At 33.6% G+C, this 20453-nt stretch overlaps 1 protein-coding gene and 1 pseudogene across 13 annotated transcripts in view; one reads left to right on the forward strand and one right to left on the reverse strand.

The window, feature by feature from the left end:
• The window catches only part of MAP4K5 (mitogen-activated protein kinase kinase kinase kinase 5), a 142606-nt gene that overhangs the window by 47294 nt on the left and 74859 nt on the right, over positions 1-20453 (reverse strand). For all 13 annotated transcript variants that reach the window (XM_047430898.1, XM_047430897.1, XM_047430893.1 and 10 more), the window contains 8 exons: positions 20290-20380; positions 19764-19828; positions 16547-16602; positions 10445-10492; positions 10314-10356; positions 9263-9335; positions 2837-2968; positions 769-831 (listed from right to left, as the gene is read on the reverse strand). In XM_047430898.1, coding sequence (XP_047286854.1) covers positions 769-831; positions 2837-2968; positions 9263-9335; positions 10314-10356; positions 10445-10492; positions 16547-16602; positions 19764-19828; positions 20290-20345 — 536 coding nt within the window. In that variant the 5' untranslated portion in view covers positions 20346-20380. The remainder of the gene's footprint in view (positions 1-768; positions 832-2836; positions 2969-9262; positions 9336-10313; positions 10357-10444; positions 10493-16546; positions 16603-19763; positions 19829-20289; positions 20381-20453) is intronic.
• On the forward strand, positions 5955-6624 carry LOC100419913 (zinc finger protein 678 pseudogene; annotated as a pseudogene).

The raw sequence follows: 20453 nt of genomic DNA on the forward strand, positions 1-20453 counted from the left end.
TGCCTGTAATCTCAGCACTTTGGGAGGCCGAAGTGGGCAGATTACGGGGTCAAGAGAATGAGACCATCCTGGCCAACATGGTGAAACCATCTCTACTAAAAATACAAAAATTAGCTTGGCGTGGTGGCATGTGCCTGTAGTCCCAGCTACTCGGGAGGCCGAGACAGGAGAATCACTCGAACCCAGGAGGCGGAGGATGCATTGAGCCGAGATTGCGCCACTGTACTACAGCCTGGCAACAGAGTGAGACTCCGTCTCCACAAAAAAGAAAGAAACACTGGGCTGGGCACAGTAGCTTACACCTGTAATCCCAGTACTTTGGAAGGCTGAAGTGGGAGGATCCCTTGAGGCCAGGAGTTTGAGACCAGCCTGGGCAACATAGTGAGACCCTGTCTCTATAACAAACAAACAAACAAAACTTAGCCAGTTGTGGTGGCACATCCTATAGTCCCAGCTACACAAGAGGCTGAGGAGGGAGGATCTCTTGAGCCCAGGAGTTTGAGGTTGCAGTGAGTTATGATCATGACACTGCACTCCAGCCTGGATAACACAGCAAAATCCTGTCTCAAAAAAAAAAAAAAAAAAAAAAAACTACCAGAAAATAAATCTAGATCCTTGCCATAGGTCTGCAAGCAAATCAGCTGTGTAACTTTGAGAAAACTGCTTAATGTCTATGGACTTCTGTTTAATCATCTGCAAAATATGGGAACTGAATCTATACTCCTTTCGATTGTAAAATTCTATAAAACTATATATTCTTTAACTCACCATTTTGTTTTGTCCTTTAGTTTTGGAGGCTGAAAATTACTTTTTGACATTAAGAAGAGAGCCCTGAAATAAAAATTATAGTTAAAGAACAATATCAAAATTACTACATCTAACAATTAGAAAGAATATTCTGTAATGAATTTATACAAGACTACCACATAAGTGGACAATGATGAAAACTACTATGGGATATAGAAATTAAATTTTTAATATTTTAGATAGCTTTCAAAAAATTTCTCTTGACTACAGAGAAGATTTTTAAATTTCCAACAAGTCCTTATTCACAAAGCAAACCCACCAAATATTGGAAAAGAGTTTTCTTACTATACTGTTACATATGTAACTAGTATTATATCTTAAGCACATGTCTATATAATTGTATATAATTCTCTAATACATAGAGATGACATGTTACTCTAACATTAGGTTGCATATTTAACCAAAGACTGGCCTCCATATTTATTTTGGGTGGGTGTATAGGCAAATTATATCCATTTCCTGATTGTTTTCCTTTTTTGGACAATGATTTCCCATATTCTCTCAGTATATTAAATACATAAACCAATCTACAAGAGAACTTTGTCTATAAACTCACGTGTGACCCATTTTCTTGTGGGCTATGGGGGTAGTATGATAGAGGATTTAAGAAGGAAGTTCTAAAATGCTCTATTTCAGCATTTCCTACAAAAATCCCAGGTTTCTAAGCAAATTCCTGTTTCTTTTTTAGCATAACAAATACATTTTTCCTTTCTAAAAATTAAATGATTCAAAGGAAAAATAAAAAAAACTATATTCCCACCATTCTATTATTTAAAATTTTCTAATCTCTTTAAAACATTTTTCTAATCTTTTTAGTCTTTATCTAAATGCTTACCAATTACATTATATTCACATTAGTATTTATAATTTTTTTCACTAATAATCAATTTTCCATTTTGCTTTGGTTCATACATATGTAATGGCTGCCCTTAACTGTTAAATAATTGGCTTAAGAATTCACCAACTACTACATATTTAGATTTTTTCCCTTGTTATCCTGAAATGCATAATTCTTAGCATTTTCTTTCCTTAGATTATTTCTGAATTATAATCCCCTAAACGGTGGAAGCACTGAAACATTTGTATTGCCCATAACAAATAACATCAAAGTATTTTTCCAAAAGGTCTGTACTTATCAGCATTCTAGCTAAAAGTAGGTATCTTTTAATATATATTATCTTTAGCTGCTTATGAGCTCAAATAGATTCCCGTATCTGGTACTTGCTCATAAACCTTAATCTATTTTTTGCTTGTAGTCTTTGAATGATTTCCTTATATAGTATATATCAATCTGTTGCCAATCACGTTAGCAAAACACTTTCACCATTCTGTTAATTTTCTTTTTAGCTTCATACCATTTAAAGTGTCAATTTAAGCCTAATCTATCTTTTCCTTCAAAGTATCAAAAAACTTTTCAGATGCCCTCAAATATTTTTTTCTGAGATAATACATCCTAGAATGTAAATGATAATTATATTCAGCATAGATACCTCTTCATTATTCCTGGATAAAATAAAAAGAAACAAAATCAAATATAACTAGAAAAGTTTCATCTGCATTCTATCATTTACTTATAATTCCACATAGGACAAAAAAAAAGATCAATTGATAAAAGAATGAACATGAAGACTCAAAAAGTCTTAAAATAATGTTAACTCTCATATCCTAGTGTGATTATGAAGAGAAATTTGTTTTATGGAAAAGCTTCAAACAGTACAGACAATTTACTCTTATGTTGTTTTAGGAGCAGCAATACAAGACAGGTTTTATTTATTTAAAGACTAGTCAAGTACAGTAGTGAGAAGGAGAAAAGCAGAACAAGGAGCTTGATCTGTAATTGTGAAAAATGAATTGAGGTAACTACCTTCGGACTAGCCCACAATAGGTTTTGGATGAGATTACTCCTAAATCCCTTACAATACCTTTACTATTTTTCATTCTTAAAAATGAGCTTGATGCTGAGTTATCAGCATTTCACTTTCCCCATAGACTTGATCAATAACTGGATAATTATAAATAATGAGAACACCTCATTGGGTGGAGATCAAACATAGGTGGCTGAAGTTCTCCAAGTTCAATTGCTGTTATTCCTACTGCCCAGATATCACAGAGTTGGTTGTAGCCACCATTCTTCTCTACTGCTGCAACTTCTGGGGCCATCCTAGAAGGAATCAATGAATACAACATTTTTGTTGTTAAATATTGATCTGAATCTGTTACTTCCTGTTATAATCACCAGACTTGTTGGAGGGAAGGAAGCTGAGAGGTGTTTACTAGGAAAGAAGAAACATTACTAAGTAAAGGCTTAAATCTCTATTTCACACACATACACACTTTTAAAATTAATTAAGAATCTTGAATGCCCTCCTCTGAATGTTTATGCTCTAAGGAAAAATCTTGTTTTAGTTTGGTTTCTATTTTTGTGAATCTTGTTATGTAATAGGCAAAAAGAAAAAGAATACCTAAATCCCTGTGAAGGTCAAAGAAAAGTTCCTAAAGGAGGTGAGACTTCTAAGTAGGGTGGGGAGCCTGGACATTTCAGTGACAGGAAACGAGTACAAATTCAGGGAGACCAGCAAAGCTGACAGGACAGTGCTCAATGTATCACCTGCAAACTGATAAGGGGCCATACATTGCTGGCTACCAGTCTGTGATAAATACAGAAATGGAGAGTAAGCATTTATGCTTGTCCAAATGCATAAATTCATTTTTATCTTATTTTACAAATAAGTCTGTAATGGACAGGAAATAACACATGGTTAGAGAAAGTCTCAAAAGTGTTTGGGAAATCAACCTCAGAAGTAGAGGCTAGATTATAAATGATCTACTGTTTATACAAAAAAGGTTAGACTTTATCATGAAAATGATGGGGACCCAATGAAAGATTTAATTATGAGGTCAAACAATCTAAAACTGCATGGCAAGATGAAGGATAGTGTGAAATCAGGTGAAATCAGTCAGGCAGATATGTTAGAGAACTTTTCAAAGGCCGTAGCAGAGGGAACAGAATGAAAGGGGTTAACTTAAGATATAGATCTGAGGAGGAAATGCTTGTGGATATTGAAATAGAGCTATTATTAAACAACTGTTGAATATACAAAAGACTGAAGTTGGAGTTACAAGTTTGGGAATCAGCACTGTAGAAGGCCTCTGAAGTTATAAAGTATAGATGATACTGTTCAGGGGAAATATTCTTTTATCTTTTCAAATGTTTACTAACTTAACTTCAATTAATTTGAATTGAATATCCACAAGGTACAAGTTGCTTTTATATGTACTTAGGCTACAAAAAGTTATATTAACACCCTGTCTCTCAAGTGTGGTTAGCATATAAAGTATGTATACTAAAAATGTGAACATGTAGATGTGTACTATATGCAAGTGCTACATACATAACAATGGATATAGGAGTAAGGAGAAGTAAACAATCACCACGGAGCAAGATAATTGAAGGCAAGTTTCACAGAGGAAAGAGGCTGAGGTGGAGCCCAGAGAAAGCAAACAGGATTCATCTCCTCTACCCACTGGAATCAGCTAGTGGTGGCTAACTGGAATGTCAAGTTGACTATGACTGTTGCACTTCCTGGCTCAGTGGGAAACTGTATTCAATCAGTTGGCCATAGGTATAGAAAGGTAGAGAGTGTGGCCCTCTTAAGAATGGGGAGGGCTTAAGATAAACACAGAAAAAGGGTATCTTAGGGAAGAGTAAAGAAAGCTAAAGTAGTAGTATTTCACCTGATATAGTCAGGATACAAAAAATAGACAATTTAGACTAGAAGAGTATTCACAAAAAGGACAGTCATAGAAAGTGAGGGACTCTGATGTGACAAAGGCAATCCTATAGGTTATCTAACTCACCTATATCTTCATTTAACTTTTATTTAACTGATACTTATTGAGGCTTTTTTTCTGTTAAAGTGATTTGTGTTGACTGAAAACAATTTGGAATATATGAAAAAATATGGAAGAAAACAAGCTAAGCATGATCCCACTCAAAGAGAGTTCCTGTTTCACATATTTTCATCCATTTTTACACACACACACACACACACACACACACACACACACCTTTTATAAAATGGTATCATATTGCATATACTACTTGGAATCTTGCTTTCTAAAATTAACAACATATCATGAGCCGTAGCATATTATTCCACTGAATTGAATAAATGTAATTCCCTTCCTGTTGTGTATTATTTTCCCTCAATTTTTATCATTAAAATAGTGTGATAAAGCTTATCATATACAAATCTGTATGCCTCTCTAATAAATTACCAGATATGGAATTACTGAGAATAAAGAAGATAAATATTGCTTAAAGTTTTTGATAAACATTACCATCAAATTATGCTTCAAAATCGTTCTACCAATTTCTTTTCTTTTTTTCCTTCAACTTTTATTTTAAGTTCCAGGGTATATGTGCAGGATGTACAGGTTTTTTACACAGGTAAATGTGTGCCATGGTGGTTTGCTGCACAGATCAACCCATCACCTTGGTATTAATATTAAGCCCAGCATCCATTAGCTATTCTTCCTGATGCTCTCCCTCCCTAACCCCTGTTGTACCAATTTCTACTCTCACTGCCAAATATTTAGTGATAGTAAGGATGCCCATAATTCCAAATATTTTCCAATTTGATAGAAAAAAGTCATTTAATTTGTTCATCAAGGGACACATTATTCAGAATATATATATTTTTTAGGTTAGTCAAGTGAAGCAGTGAGAGTAAAGAAGGAACAAAGAAATCTGTAGGGGTTGCATGCCCCTAGCCATGACCTGCAGGCCACTACATGATGTAAGAAACATGAGAAAACATTTAAATTTTCCTATTTACTTCAAAGACATAAAGTAATTCACATTGGAGAAAAACCCCGAGAACAGAAGAAATCTGGTAAATCCTTGAGACTCTGCAGTTCTTTTCAAAAACATAACTAACAGTGGAGAAAAACCTCATAAATGTAAGAAATGTGATAAAGCCCTTGGATATTCCAGTTACCTTCATAACCACAAAGGTGCTCACACTGGAGAGAAACGCTATGAATGTAGGGAATATGCGAAAGAATTAAGTTGTCTTAGTTACTTTCAAAGGGCTCATACTGGTGAAAAATCTTTTACATGTAAGAAATATGGTAAGGGAGTTATTCTTTCTAGTTTCCTTCAGAAACATGAAAGAAATAATACTAGACAGAAACCCTATAAATGTAAGAAATGTGGTAAAGTCTTCCGTCATTTCTGCTCCATGTGAAGACATGAAAGAACACATAGAGAGAAATCCTGTGACTATAAAAAATGTGGTAAAGCCTTCAATCAATACAGTTCCCTTAGAAGACATGAAAGCTCATACTGGAGAGAAACCCTACGAACGTCAAAAATGTGGTAAATCCTCCAGTCATTTCAGTTACCTTTAAACACATGAGAGAACTCATACTGGTGATAAACTTTATGAATGTGAAAAATGTGGTAAAACCTTCAGACATTTCAGTTCCCTTCGAACACATGAAAAAACTCATACTGGAGAGAAACTCTATGAAGGTAAAAAAAAAAAAAAAAAAGTGGTAAAGCCTTTAGTCGTTTCAATTACCTTGAAACACATGACAGAATTCATACTGGAGAGAAACCTTATGATTGTAAGACATGCGATAAAGCCTTCAGATATTCCAGTTCTGTAGGTAAACATGAAATAACATACTTCATAGAAATCCTAGGAATGTAAGGAATGTGGGAAAACATTCAATTATCTGAGTTATCTTTGAAAACATGAAAAAAATTATACTGGAGAATAACCATATGTATATGAGAAATGTTGTAAAGTCTTTGTATGTTCCAGTTCCCTTTGAACACATTAAAAAAACTCATACTGAAGAAAAACCTATGAATGTAAGGAATATGGGAAGGCATGTAATTTTGCCACTTCCCTTTTAAAATATAAAACTCATACTGGGGGGAAAATATGCATGTAAACAATGTGGTAATGTCCTCAGTGTTTCCAGTTCTAGTTGAAGACATGAAAGAAGTCATTTCTGAAAATCCCTGTAAACATATGGAATGTGGGGATGCCTTTGTTTCTCTCAGGTACATTCAAAGACACATGACATGTGCACATTGGAGATGAATCTTATAAGAATGTATTCTGTATCTAAATCCTAGTACTTGGCAAAACAGGTAAGTTTCCATTTTAATAATTATTTCAAAAGTCATCTGAGAATGCCTATTGAAAAGAAATCTTATAAATTTAATTTGAAAAGCCTGATGCAAATTAAACATTGACTAATGCTCAAAACATGCACATGAATATTATACAACTTATAAATATATTGTGTTTATCAGTGGCTCATTCTTAATGAGGATCTCTGGACTATTGATTTCCACTTATTTTCCATGAAAATATTGAGGTGAGAATTCTGTAGACACCCTTTAAGTGATAGTAAATGAATTCGATACGTAGTGTTTTTTTGTCAGTTAATAATTTTTCTTTATATGTCTAAAAGGTTGTTGGATTTATGAATGAATTAAAAATGTATTTCTAATATGTAGGTAAGATTTTTATGTAGTTTTTTAATTGGTCTGTGATGAATGTGTCATTGAAAACTGAGTCTTTGTTAATTTTGGGGCTTTTCTTACTGGTCTCAGGTAAAAAGTTTTGGTTACCCCTCACCTATTAGATATATTCTACCTTTCTTTTTTATGGAAAAAGTATTCTCTTTTGGCACAAATAAGTCTATGCCATTGTTTTTGCTAATAGAGTTGGTATTAGAAAAAAAAAGAAATCCGTAACTTCTTGTGATCTATTATCATATGTTACGATACTTAATATGTATTATTTTACTAACTGCTTCTAATGAGACATTCTTTTTAACGACATAAGAACTTACATATGAAAAATATTAAACCTAGTTTGGCATATTTTAGACAATATTTCCTGTTTTTTTACTTGCCTTTTAATTTTGTTTAAGCTGGTGGACATAAACAAGTTTTAAATTTTCATGCAGTTAAATCTATCAGCATTTCCTTTTAAGGTTTTATTCTTTATGTTCAGAAAGCCTTCCTCAGCTCTTAAAGCAGATAGTTACTGATGGCTCTTTTGGTTTCACTTTTTTTTTTTTTTTTTTTTTTTTTGAGACGGAGTCTCGCTCTGTCGCCCAGGCTGGAGTGCAGTGGTGCGCACTCAGCTCGCTGTAAGCTCTGACTCCTGGGTTCACGCCCTTCTCCTGCCTCAGCCTCCCGAGGAGCTGGGACTACAGGCACCTGCCACGACGCCCGGCTAATTTTTTTGTATTTTTAGTAGAGACGGGGTTTCACCGTGTTAGCCAGGATGGTCTCGATCTCCTGACCTCTTGATCCGCCCGCCTCAGCCTCTCAAAGTGCTGGGATTACAGGTGTGAACTTGACTATTTCCACATACGATTTTTTGACATCAGGTATGAGGTACGGAGCTACTTAAATTTCTTTTCAAATAACAAATTATCCAAACACTGCACATTAAAGAATCCAAATTGGCTAAGCACAGTGGCTCAAGTCTGTAATCTCAGCACTTTGGGAGGTAGATCACTTGAGTTTTAGACCAGCCCAGGAGTTTTAGCTGAAACCCTGTCTCTACAAAAAAAATTACAAAAAATTAGCTGGCTGTGATGTTGCATGCCTGTAGTCTCAGCTATTTCGGGGGCTGAAATGGGAGGATCATCTGGCTCTGGGAGGTCAATGATGCAGTGAGCTGTGATTGTGCCACCGCACTCCAGCCACGTGACAGAATGAAACCCTGTCTCAGAAAAAAAAAAAAAGAATCTAACCTTTCACACAAACTGCAAATGTCACCTTTTATAACATTCACAATTTTAAATATTAAGGTTTTGTTATGAGGCTTTTTATTTCTATCATCTATCAATAATGAAAGCAGTGTTTTAGAAAGATTATTTTGTCAGTAATCAGTGGAATGCACTAAGAGTGGGGTGGCTGGTGAGAGTAATGGTAGGTAGGATGAAGGAGTTTTAACAACCAGGAAGAAGAATCCTAGATTAAACTTAGGTGATGGGTCAATAGGTGCAGCAAACCCACCATGGCACACGTTTACCTATGTAACAAACCTAGACATCCTGCACATGTACCCTGCAACTTAAAATAAAATAAAGTGGAAAAGTCCTAGATTAAAAGAGAATGCCAGAAGAAAGGGTAAGAAAATTACAGGAGGCAAATCTTTTGAAAATTTCATACCTAAGAGCCCTCTCAATATAAAATCACAGGGATAGTAAAAATTATTAGCACTTCTACAGAGGGAAGGCTGAACCATGAATATGAGCATCAAAGTTCCCTAACCCAAACAGAACTTATGATACTGTCAAAGAGCACGCAAATCTCCCTACTTTTAATTATTACTTCTATTACCAAGTATCGAGGTTGATCACAAAACCATGAAGAAATGAAAATGGATCAAATTCAATCACAGTAATGTCTTACCAGTAAGGGGTGCCAATGAAAGATTTTCGTTTTGCAATGGTAGCTGTTATTTTTGCAGCCACACCAAAGTCAGCTAGTGAGGAAAAAAACAGAAAATTTTAGTTCTTTACAATACACCAAACAACATTTTTACTTTCGCCCTTAGGCATGGCAGTATTAATAATTCAAATATTAATGTTAGAAAAATGCGCATAAATTGAATACCTAAATCTCTTCTTGCTTAGTTCACAACATACTTATTAAAAAAATTTACTGGCACTTTACTAGAATGAAAATACTTTATTAAGAACAAAGTTAACAAAAAATATTTTTATTATATACACAATGAAGTTAATTTGGGAAAAAGAGAAAAAAAAAAGCACAAAAAATAAAACACATGGGAGAAACACACACCTGTATTCCTTTTATCCTAATATAACAAGGATAGCATTCTGGTACTATTTTTTTTACAGTCATTTTTTTCTATGTATGAACTTTTTAAGTGTTGTAGTTAAACATGATTGTATTGTAATCCCTGCTACTTGGGAGGATTAGGTGGGAGCATAGCCTGAGGCCAGGAGTCCAAGTACACAGTGAGCTATGACTGAATCACTGCACTCCAGCCTGAATGACAGAGTGAGACCATCTCCTTCAAAACAAACAAAATAACACACAGAAACACGTGGTTGTAAAATACTAAATAAATATACAGTCCATTTTTGTCATTTAACACACCAGATGTTACTCTTACACATTCATAGATATCAATGATTGAATAGATTTATCACAGTTTAACAGTTTTTCTATTGCTAGACTTACATTTGCATTTTTTCTACCACAAGTAATATTATGGTTAATGCTTTAGTGAATATGGATTTTCCATCTTTAGGTTTAATTTCCTTAAAATGAGTTTTGGGAGTAAAATTACTGGATCAAAAGTTAAACATTACTGCGACTCTTGATATGAAAATGAAATCTGCATAATGTTAATTCTCATTTAAAATTTTATAAAAATTTTATTAAAATGTCATTAAATTTTTGGAAAAAATTTTAGGAATTTGAAATAACATACCTAATTTTACATCGCCATGGTCTGTCAATAAAATATTAGCACCCTAGAACAAAAATACAAATACAATTAAATTAGCATCATAAAATTTCTTCCAATAGAATTGGCAATTTAAATGTATTAAATGAACTTACTTTGATATCTCTATGCATTTTGCCTTTAGTATGCAAATAGGCAAGACCCTAAAAGTTTAAAAAAAAAAAAAAAGAATGTATCAGCAAAACTGTAAATGTGACTCCTAAATTTTCTACTTAAATTCTTATTGAATAAGAAAAACTAGAATGTCTTTTTTGGGGAGAAAAAAACCTAGATAAGTAAATCAATGTTTACTATATTTTAAAGATTTGTTTTTGTTTTTGAGACAGAGTCTCACTGCCCAGGCTGGAGTGCAGTGGCAGTGATTTTGGCTCACTGCAGCTGCCATCTCCTGGGTTCAAGTGATTCACTTGCCTCCGCCTCCCAAGTAGCCGGGATTACAGGCATGCGCCACTATGCCCAGCTAATTTTTGTATTTTTTAGTAGAGACGGGGTTTCACCATGTTGGCCAGACTGGTCTTGAACTCCTGACCTCAAGTGATCCACCCGCCTCAGCCTCCCAAAGTGGTGGGATTACAGGCGTGAGCCACCACACCCGGCCTGAAGATTTCTAATTTATTTTCTGATAAAAATCAGAAATATTTCACTAAACACAATCAAGATATCAAATATATTAATTACTCCTAAAAGTTTCCTTATGTGGTGCTCCTTTATAATTTTCCCATTCTTCCCCACAACCCTCACAAACACTGATGTGCTTTCTGGCACTATAGTTCAGGTTTTCAAAGTTGTCTGACTATTCTAGGTGTTTTACATTTCCACAGCAATTTTAGAATCAGCATGTCAACTTCTTTAATAAAAAGCCTCCTCAAATTGTGATTGGGGTTGCACTGAATCTACAGAACAATTTGTGAAGAATTATCATCTCAACAGTATTGAGTCTTCTGGTTTGTGAACATGGTATAGTTCTCCATTTATTTGGGTTTTTAATTTCTTTCAGGAGTTTTGTAGTTTTCTGTATGCAGGTGTTTATGCATCTTTTGTCATATTTATCCCTAAGAATGTCATATTCTTTATGTTATTATATGTTGTATTATTTTAACTTCAGATTGTCCGTTGCTAGTATATATAAATCTGATTGATTTTTGTACATTGATAGTGAATATTACAATCTTTCTAGCCTAATTTATTAGTTCTAGTAGCTACTTTGTAGATTTTATTCCATTTTCTACACAGATGATGATGTGGTCTGTGAATAAAGAGAGTTGTACTTCCTACTTTCTAATCCAGATGCCTTTTATTTCATTATTTTCTCTTTTTGCACTGGCTGAAACCTCTAGGACAATGTTGAAAAGTAGTAGTAAAGGCAGACTTCATCACCCTGTTTGGGTGAGCCTGGAGGAAAAAACATCCCGTCTTTTACCATTAAGTATGAGTTAGTCATAGGTTTTTCACAGGTACGCTTTATCAGGTTGACCAAGTTCCTTTCTATTCCTACCATGTTCAGAACTTTTTTTTATCAGGAATGAATGTTGGATTTTGCTAAATGCCCTGTGTGTATTTAGATGATAATGTGGTTTTTCTTTTTTAGTTGTTAAGATGAAATGATTTTTGGATATTAAACCAACACTGCATTCTAGAATAAACTCCACTTATGATGTATTAACTTTTAAAATATATTACTGGATTACCTTTGCTAAACCTTTTATTTTTAATGTTTGCACCTAGGTTTATGAAGAACATTAGCCTGTAGTTTTGTTCTCTTGTAAGATTGTTGTCTAATTTTGGTGTCAGAAAAATGCTGACTCAAAATGATTCGGGAGTTATTTCTCATTCTTCAATTTTCTAGATAGGTATATATAGGATTGGCATTATTTCTTTCTTATATGTCTGGTAGAATTTACTGTATGGCATCATCTGGCCCGGAGTTTTCTTTGTGAGAATACATATAGGATTATTCAGGTTATTTATAATTGAGTGAGCTTTGGTAGTTTGTATCTCTTGTTGAAACTGCCCATTTTATTGGCATAATACTGTTCATAATACTGTCTTGTTATCTAATATTTGTAAATTCTGTCTTGATATCCCATCATTCATTTCTGATGCTTATCACTTGTTTCTTCTCTTTTTACTTTTTTTCCTGATCAATCTGTCTAGATGTTTATCATTTTTATTGCTCATCTCAAAGAATCAGATTTTTATTTCACTGACATTCTCTATTACTATTTTTTTTCCTTTCCATTTCGTTTATTTTTATTCTGATCTTTATTTCCTTTCTCTGCTTACTTTGCATTATATTTGCTCATCTTTTTCTAGCTTCTTAGGTGGAAGCTGAGGATACTGATTTTGAGAGCTTCTGTTTAGTGCTATAAATTTCCCTATAAGTACAGGCTGAATATCCCTATCTAAAATGCTTGGGACCAGACATATTTCAGATTTCAGATTTTTTAGTACTTGCAGAATATATACTGGTTAAACATCCCTAATCAGAAAACAGAAAATACAAAATGCTCCAATGAGCATTTTCTTTGAGCATAATGTTGGACTTTCTTAAACATTTCTTGTAGGATAGGTCTGCTGGTGACTTGTTCTTTCAGTGTTTGTAAGTCTGAAAAACTCTATTTTGCCTTTGTTTTTGAAAGAGATTTTCTCTAGGAATAGAATTTTAGGTTGACAATTTTTTTTCAGTACTTTAAAGATTTTCCACTGTCTTCTCACTTATTTCTAACAATAAATATTCCTTGTCTTTGTTCTTTTGTATATCATGAGTCCTGTTCTGAATGCTTCTAAGATGTTCTAATCAAATAAGCAATTTGATTCATGTGTCTTAGTGTAGTTTTTTTCGTTTTTTTTTTTTTTGTTGTTGTTGTTTTTTGTGCTCAGGGTTTGTTGAGCACTTTGGATCTGTGGGCCCATATTAATAGTTATCATCAAGTATGGACAATTTTCAGCCATCTCCCCTTTTCAGTTTGTCTCCCTTTTCTCTTTCGTTTCCCTTTTTTCTCTTTGTCTCTTCATTCTCTCTCTTTTTTTTTTTCTCATTTTTGTCCCTTTTTCTTCTGTTGTCCCTTCAAGGACACCAATTATATCCATATTAGGCCACTTGAAATTGTCCTACAGCTTAATGATACTCTTCACTTATAAAAAATTACTTTTTCTTTCCATGTTTCATTTTGAATATTTTCCACCTCTATGCCCTCAAATTCAAATATACGTTTTTTGCAATATTTAATCATCTGCTAATTTCATCCTTTGTTAATTCCATCAGACACATGTTAATTAACATCCTTTGTTAATTCCTTTGTTAATTCCATCCAAAGCTCACTCAGTATTTAATCATCTGCTAATTTCATCCTTTGTTAATTCCATCAGACACTGTGGTTTTCATCTCTAGAAGTTTGACTTGGGCCTTTTTTATACCTTCCATATCTCAACTTGTTAAGCATCTTAAACAGTTATAACTGTTTTAATGTTTTTGTCTGCTAATTCTGGCATCTGTCAGTGTGGGTTGGTTTTACTGATTTTCATCTTATTTTGCTTCTTTGCTTGTCTGGTAATCTTTGAGTAGATGCCCAACATTGTGAATTTTACTTTGTTGGGTGCTGTATATTTTTGAATTTTCAAAAATACTCCAATACTCTGAAGCACTCTCCAATACTCTACCTTAAATACTCTAACTGGCTTGGGACCCCACCTGGGTTCCTTCTCCCTGTACTGTGGCCTGAAAACTTTCCCAACGCCATAAGCTGGGGCAATTATATGGCTTCCTTGGTTTGTTTCCTATTTTTCAGGCCTCATTGTCCTTCATTACCTGATGTTCAGTTTCTTGAAAATCACTGTTTCATATATTTTGCCTACTTTATTTGATTGTTTTGGGTAGCATGGTAAATCTACTTCTTGTTACCTGATTTTGACCAGATGTGGAAGTTTATCTGCATAATAGAATTTTAAAATTGGAAATAATCTTGGAGGTATTCCCTTCCTAAGCTTCATATTGGTTTTTTTTTTATTTTAATTTTTGTGGGTACATAGTAGGTATATATTTATGGGGAATTTATTTGGTACAGGCGGCAATGTGAAATAAACACATCATGGAGAAAGCGGTATCCATCCCCTCAAGCATTTATCCTTTGAGTTACAAGCAATTCAATGACACTCTGTTATATTAAAATATAAAATTCAGTTATTACTGACTATAGTCACCCTGTTGTGTTATCAAATACTAGAACTTACTCATTCTTTCTTTTTTTTTTTTTTGGTACCCATTAACCATCCCCACTCCCCTCCGACCATATCAAATCCCTTCTCAGCCTCGGGTAACCATCCTTCTACTTCCTATGTCTGTGAGTTAATTGTTTTGATTTTTAGATCCCACAAATAAGTAAGAACATGTGATGTTTGTCTTTCTGTCCCCGGCTTATTTCACATAACATAAGGATCTCCAGCTCCATCCTTGTTCTTGAAAATAAGCCTCATTTTATAAACTCATGCTCACATAACAATAGGGATGCATACATTCTGAGAAATGCATTGTTAGGCAATTTTGTTGTGCAAGTATCACAGAGGGTACTTGCATAAACATGGATGGTATATACACATAGCCTACTAAACACCTAGGGTATATGTATAGCCCTATTGTTCTTAAGCTACAAACCTGCACAGCACATTAGTGTACTGATATTGTAGGAACTGTAACACAATGACAATTACTGTGTATCTAAACATATCTAAGCATAGAAAAGGTACAGTAAAAATATAGTATTATAACCTTATGGGACCACTGTTGTATATGTAGCCCATTGTTGACTGAAATGTTATGCAGTACAGGATTGTATTTTGGGAACTAGAACTATATAAAAGATTACGGTCACATACCAGCGCCAGAGTGCAAATTCGACTTTGTTTTTTTTTTTTATTTTTTCACCTCTACTCAGTACTTTGTTTAATACTTAGGGAAACAATGAACTTTAGAAATTAAAATACAAAGAAAATGAATTTGTCAATAATTCTCTGCTATGAGTGTATAATTAAGTTTGTATTTTATGTAGATACAATGAAGTAGGTTTCTATGTTATGTAAACGTTATAGGAATATACACACACATACGTACATACATATATATTACACATCTCTATATATATATATAAATATATATATGTTAGATAAATTAATCTGATTTATCTCTCAGTAAGATTTGGCAGTGTTTATGTCTTTTAAAGCATGTGGGAACCAACTCTTCAAAATTGACTAGAACTTTTTCCTGATCAGCCAAATCTCCCATTTTGGAAAATATTAGAGAACAACACATAGAGTATCAATTTCTTTCTAAATTGAAACTACACAATATAGGAAATTTAGGGATAGAAGCATTAATTAACAATTATCAGTTGTAAATTACAAAAATACAAACCACAATCACTACTACTTATTCCCTCCTGCAAATTTAAATGCCTTAAATTATATGAACAAAATTGTTAATTCCTAATTTTCTCAGTGAGTAGTCTTTCAGGGCACTGAAAAAAATAAATAAATTGGGAGAAATACCACATACTCTATATCTTTATTGAATATTCATAACCCATTTTAGCATACTAAAAGTTCTCACAGGCCCTGAAGTAAAGAAACCTGTTTAATGCAATGTTAACCAAACTTACAAAAAGAGATTCTGCTATCAATAACATTTAATACCACATAGAACTAGGGTTTTCAGATAACACCTTGAGTTAATGCTGTGCTAATTTATTTTATTTCAAGAGAAATAGTAAAAGCCCCTATGTCTCATGGAAGAGATTCCTTTTACTGCCATAAACTTGAAGGGAACGCTTAGACAACATGTTACAATTGAGAGGTTTGGTAATTCATTCTTGAAAACCAATTTACACAACTGAGGGCCAAGTGCTATAAAGGAGAATACCTCACATGACCATGGTGTGCATCAGCATCAAAGTGGAATTCCACATATGATCACTGTATATGTCGGCATCAGCTTAAATGAATTCATGTGATTCATTCATGAAAGAAAAATAACTAGTTTTACAGAATTATAAGAGATTAACAGAAAAATCATTTTGTTTTACCCTTTCTCTTTAAGGTAGACTATCATTTTATAGTTATCAATTGTCAGGCAATTGCCTTTCTAACTACATTAAGAAAATATTGCCTAGAATTGCCTTTCTAACTATATTAAGAAAATATAGTACCTGTAAGGTTTCTCTGCATACATAGGCTATTTGCAATTCTGATAATGGTCCAGTAACTAGAAAGAAAAAGAGACCACATTGTTATACATTTAAACCTAACATTAGAAACAGTCTACTTAAAAAAAATGGCAAACTAGGCCAAGCGCAGTGGCTCACGCCTGTAATCCCAGCACTTTGGGAGGCCAAGGCAGGCGGATCACGAGGTCAAGAGCTCGAGACTATCCTGGCCAACATGGTGAAACCCCGTCTCTACTAAAAATACAAAAATTGGCTGGGCATGGTGGTGCGCACCTGTAGTCCCAGCTACTCGGAAGGCTGAGGCAGGAGAATTGCTTGAACCCGGGAGGCAGGGGTTGCAGTGAGCTGAGATCACACCACCGCACTCCAGCCTGGCGGCAGAACGAGACTCGGTCTCGGAAAAAAACAAAAAAACAAAACAAAACAAAAAAACAGACGAACTATTATAAAACAATTTCTATTTATACAGTTGAGTGATTTCTCTTCTGATTGTGAGCATATATTATTTCTGTCAACAAGAATCAAAAACAAAAGGTAACACTGAGAATTTTTTCAAATGTACTTTAAAAGATTTAACTCCGTAACAACTGTGGTCCTTGAAAATATTAAGCACTCATGTGCAAAGCATAGTGGTATGCATTATAGGAAGGTCTATAGAATGCAATCCTGAACAATTTTTCAAAAATAAAGAAATACATATAACTAATTATACAGAGAAATAGAGAATCATAAAGAGATTGACTATCCAATATATTAAAAGGCATCATATACTTTTTTATAGATCAAGATGCTATTTCTTTAGTATAATTCTTTACCACACCTATCAAAAGAGAGGCTTGATCCAGTACCTTATCTAAGAATTTAAAAAATAACCGTGTCACTTTTGGCAACCAGATCTCTCCCTAATATGAAATATAAAATTCTACTTATTTCAAGAACTCAACCAGAGGCTTCGGGACTATGCCTTTCAGTACCATGAGAGTAACTCTGGGGTGGTATCTGCTGACAGCGAAACCAAATCAGGTAGTCATGTGTATTCTTCACCTAGAGAAATTTCTACCGCGTATTTTAATCACTGGCTCTCTCTACCCATTCAGGAACATAAATTTTTGATTCTTAGTAACATGATAAATAGTAGTAAAAGAAAAAAAGTCACTTTATTAACAACATCTAATTATAAGTGTAGATTTTATTGATTATTATGCTATCTAGTATACTAACTACCGGGATGGGTACTTCTTAGGTTCAATTTAATTCAACAAATATCAGGTTTAATAAGAGAAAGTCAGAATTTCATGAAAAAATAAAATTAATGTTTCAAAGCTATTCTTTAAACTTAAAAGTTGCAAAAAAAAAAAAAAAAGCCAGCTATCTTGAGTGCTCTCATTTTATAAAAATGTGAATGGACAAAAATTACAATTACCGAATAAAAACTTTTCACAGAAAAGACAGCAATTCCATTTATTTATTTATTTATTTATTTATTTATTTATTTATTTATTGAGACAGTCTTGCTCTCTCGCCCAGGCTGGAGTGCACTGGCGTGATCTTGGTTCACTGCAACCACCGCCTCCTGGGTGCAAGTGATTCTCCTGCCTCAGTCTCCCAAGTAGCTGGGATTACAGGTGCCTGCCACCACACTTGGCTAATTTTTGTATTTTTAGTAGAGATGGGGTTTTACCATGTTGGCTAGGCTGGTCTCAAACTCCCGACCTTGGCCTCCCAAAGTGCTGGAATTACAGGCATGAGAAGATAGCAATTCTTTATAAAATCATAGAAAAAAATTAAATCCAGTGGCACAGAGAATTTTAAATCCACATGCCTAAGAAATAGCCTAAATCATAGTAATTTGTGTATTTGTAACATTTATGTGATGTTAAAACATTTTTGTTAATAAAGAGGTAGTGATCAGTGTTTAGACATCAGTCAGAATTTTTGTTGTTATGGATTATTTGTTGTGACAAAATTAGATAATTATGACATTTTAAAATTGATAATTAAGTACTATATTGATAAGTTTTTTTGTAATTTAAAAGTTTACTTCTGAGCTTTGCTTTCCCTCTCCTCTGGTAATGACTTAGTCAACTGGTAGGTATTCTTTCATTTTGCTATACATTTACATTCTATATTTATACTTATAAAAATGTAATTTTTAAAAGCCTAAGTATGACCCAGTATGTTATACATATTCTTTCACAATTCACTTTTTCCATTTAAAAACAAGCCTTAGGGATATATACCCAGGTCAATAATTATGAAGTAACTTCATCTTTTTAAGTGCCGCACAGTATTCCATATTACAGGTTGAAGAGTAGTTTATTTAACCACTGCTCTATTGATTGACATTTTAAAACTGAGCTCTGTAGTTACAACCTATTATTTGAAGTGAAATAGCACTTCTGTTTTTATATCTACTGTGGCTGCATTTGTAAACTGCATGACTGAAATTTGGTAAGGTTTCCAATATAAAGATTTCAGCATAGAAACGTTTAAAAATATTTCACGTAATTCTTTAAAACAAATTATAAAATAAGTAGCTGCAATGGGAGTTTTACTATCCCATATCCATGTTAAACAAGGAGAAGAAAAATTATAAGGATCTATGTTTAGTCTCATAAATTCTAGAAATTCAAGAAATTGCCAGCAGCAACAAAACAAATTAAAAGCTAAACAGTAGAGCCAAAACAAAACTTTCTAAACAGTATTAGACTGTAATGTCAAATTCAACTCAGGAAACTGCCTAAATTAATATGAATACTAAATAAAATACTCGAAACTTTAAAACATACATATTAATACAAAAATATTACAGTAACAAGCAAATTGCTTTTCTGGTTAGCAGGTTAAGTTACTAAGACAGACACGTAACTTCCCTTCTGTGAGTTACCCCTTGCATTTCAATTTTTTTTTACAAGGAAATTTAGGAAGTTTCATTTGTAGATAAAACACTTTCCTAGAGATATCTAAAGAGTAAAATTTGGATTATATAAATACTTTTGCATTTGTCACTTCAGGCTCAGGCAAGTTTAATTGACTAACCAATAAAAAATAAATACAGATTTCTGTTATGCAGTGCTCCGGGAACAGAAGAATGCAAAATAGTAAGTCTACCTGTTAATTTCCGTGGTTAACTGGAAATATCGAACAACAATCATTAAAACCAAAGTCTGTTTAAAATGTAAAGTCAAATTAACAGTACCATGGTAAATATCTTGAAGTGATCCGCCACCACAGTATTCCATACAAATCCATAGTTTTTCCCGACTAATACAAAAAAAAAAGAAAATTATATTAGCTAGTAATTTTCAATCACTGAAATACTCTAAGGCTCTCACTCTTTAGCACACCAGGGTTCAGAATGGACTGTGAAGTGCAACAGGAAACTGCTATGTAATCTTGCTACAATATACAGAAAAGCACATTAATTTCAGCTTTGTTCCCATCTTCAGTGGTTTAGAATATGATCAGTTTTGTAAGTTAAAACACTTACTTGTAATCACTTATGTTTCATTAAAATTGCCAGATGAGGTACAACTATAAAAATGGGAGTACCATTATTAATATGTAATAGGGGAAAACCGTAGAAATAGGAAAACCTTAAAAAATTTAGAACTTTGCAGTGTTTAAAAACATACAAATATAGTAGCACTTACATACAAGGGAGAGAGTGTAGTAGCAAAGAATATATAAAATACAGAGAGAGATGATGCTTTTTTTTCTCTTACCTAAGATAACTCCCAAAGTAGGCAACGATGTTACAATGTTTACATTCTTTAACCATAAATATTTCTTGTTGAATCAAAGAAAAATCATCTCCTGGAAAACAAAATAAGTTGTTTATCATGTTACTCAAAATCTCTACATATGAAAAGAAGGAAGGAAAACTTTA

This window comes from Homo sapiens, chromosome 14 (genome assembly GCF_000001405.40).
Source record: "Homo sapiens chromosome 14, GRCh38.p14 Primary Assembly".
Classification (NCBI taxonomy): Eukaryota; Metazoa; Chordata; class Mammalia; order Primates; family Hominidae; genus Homo; species Homo sapiens.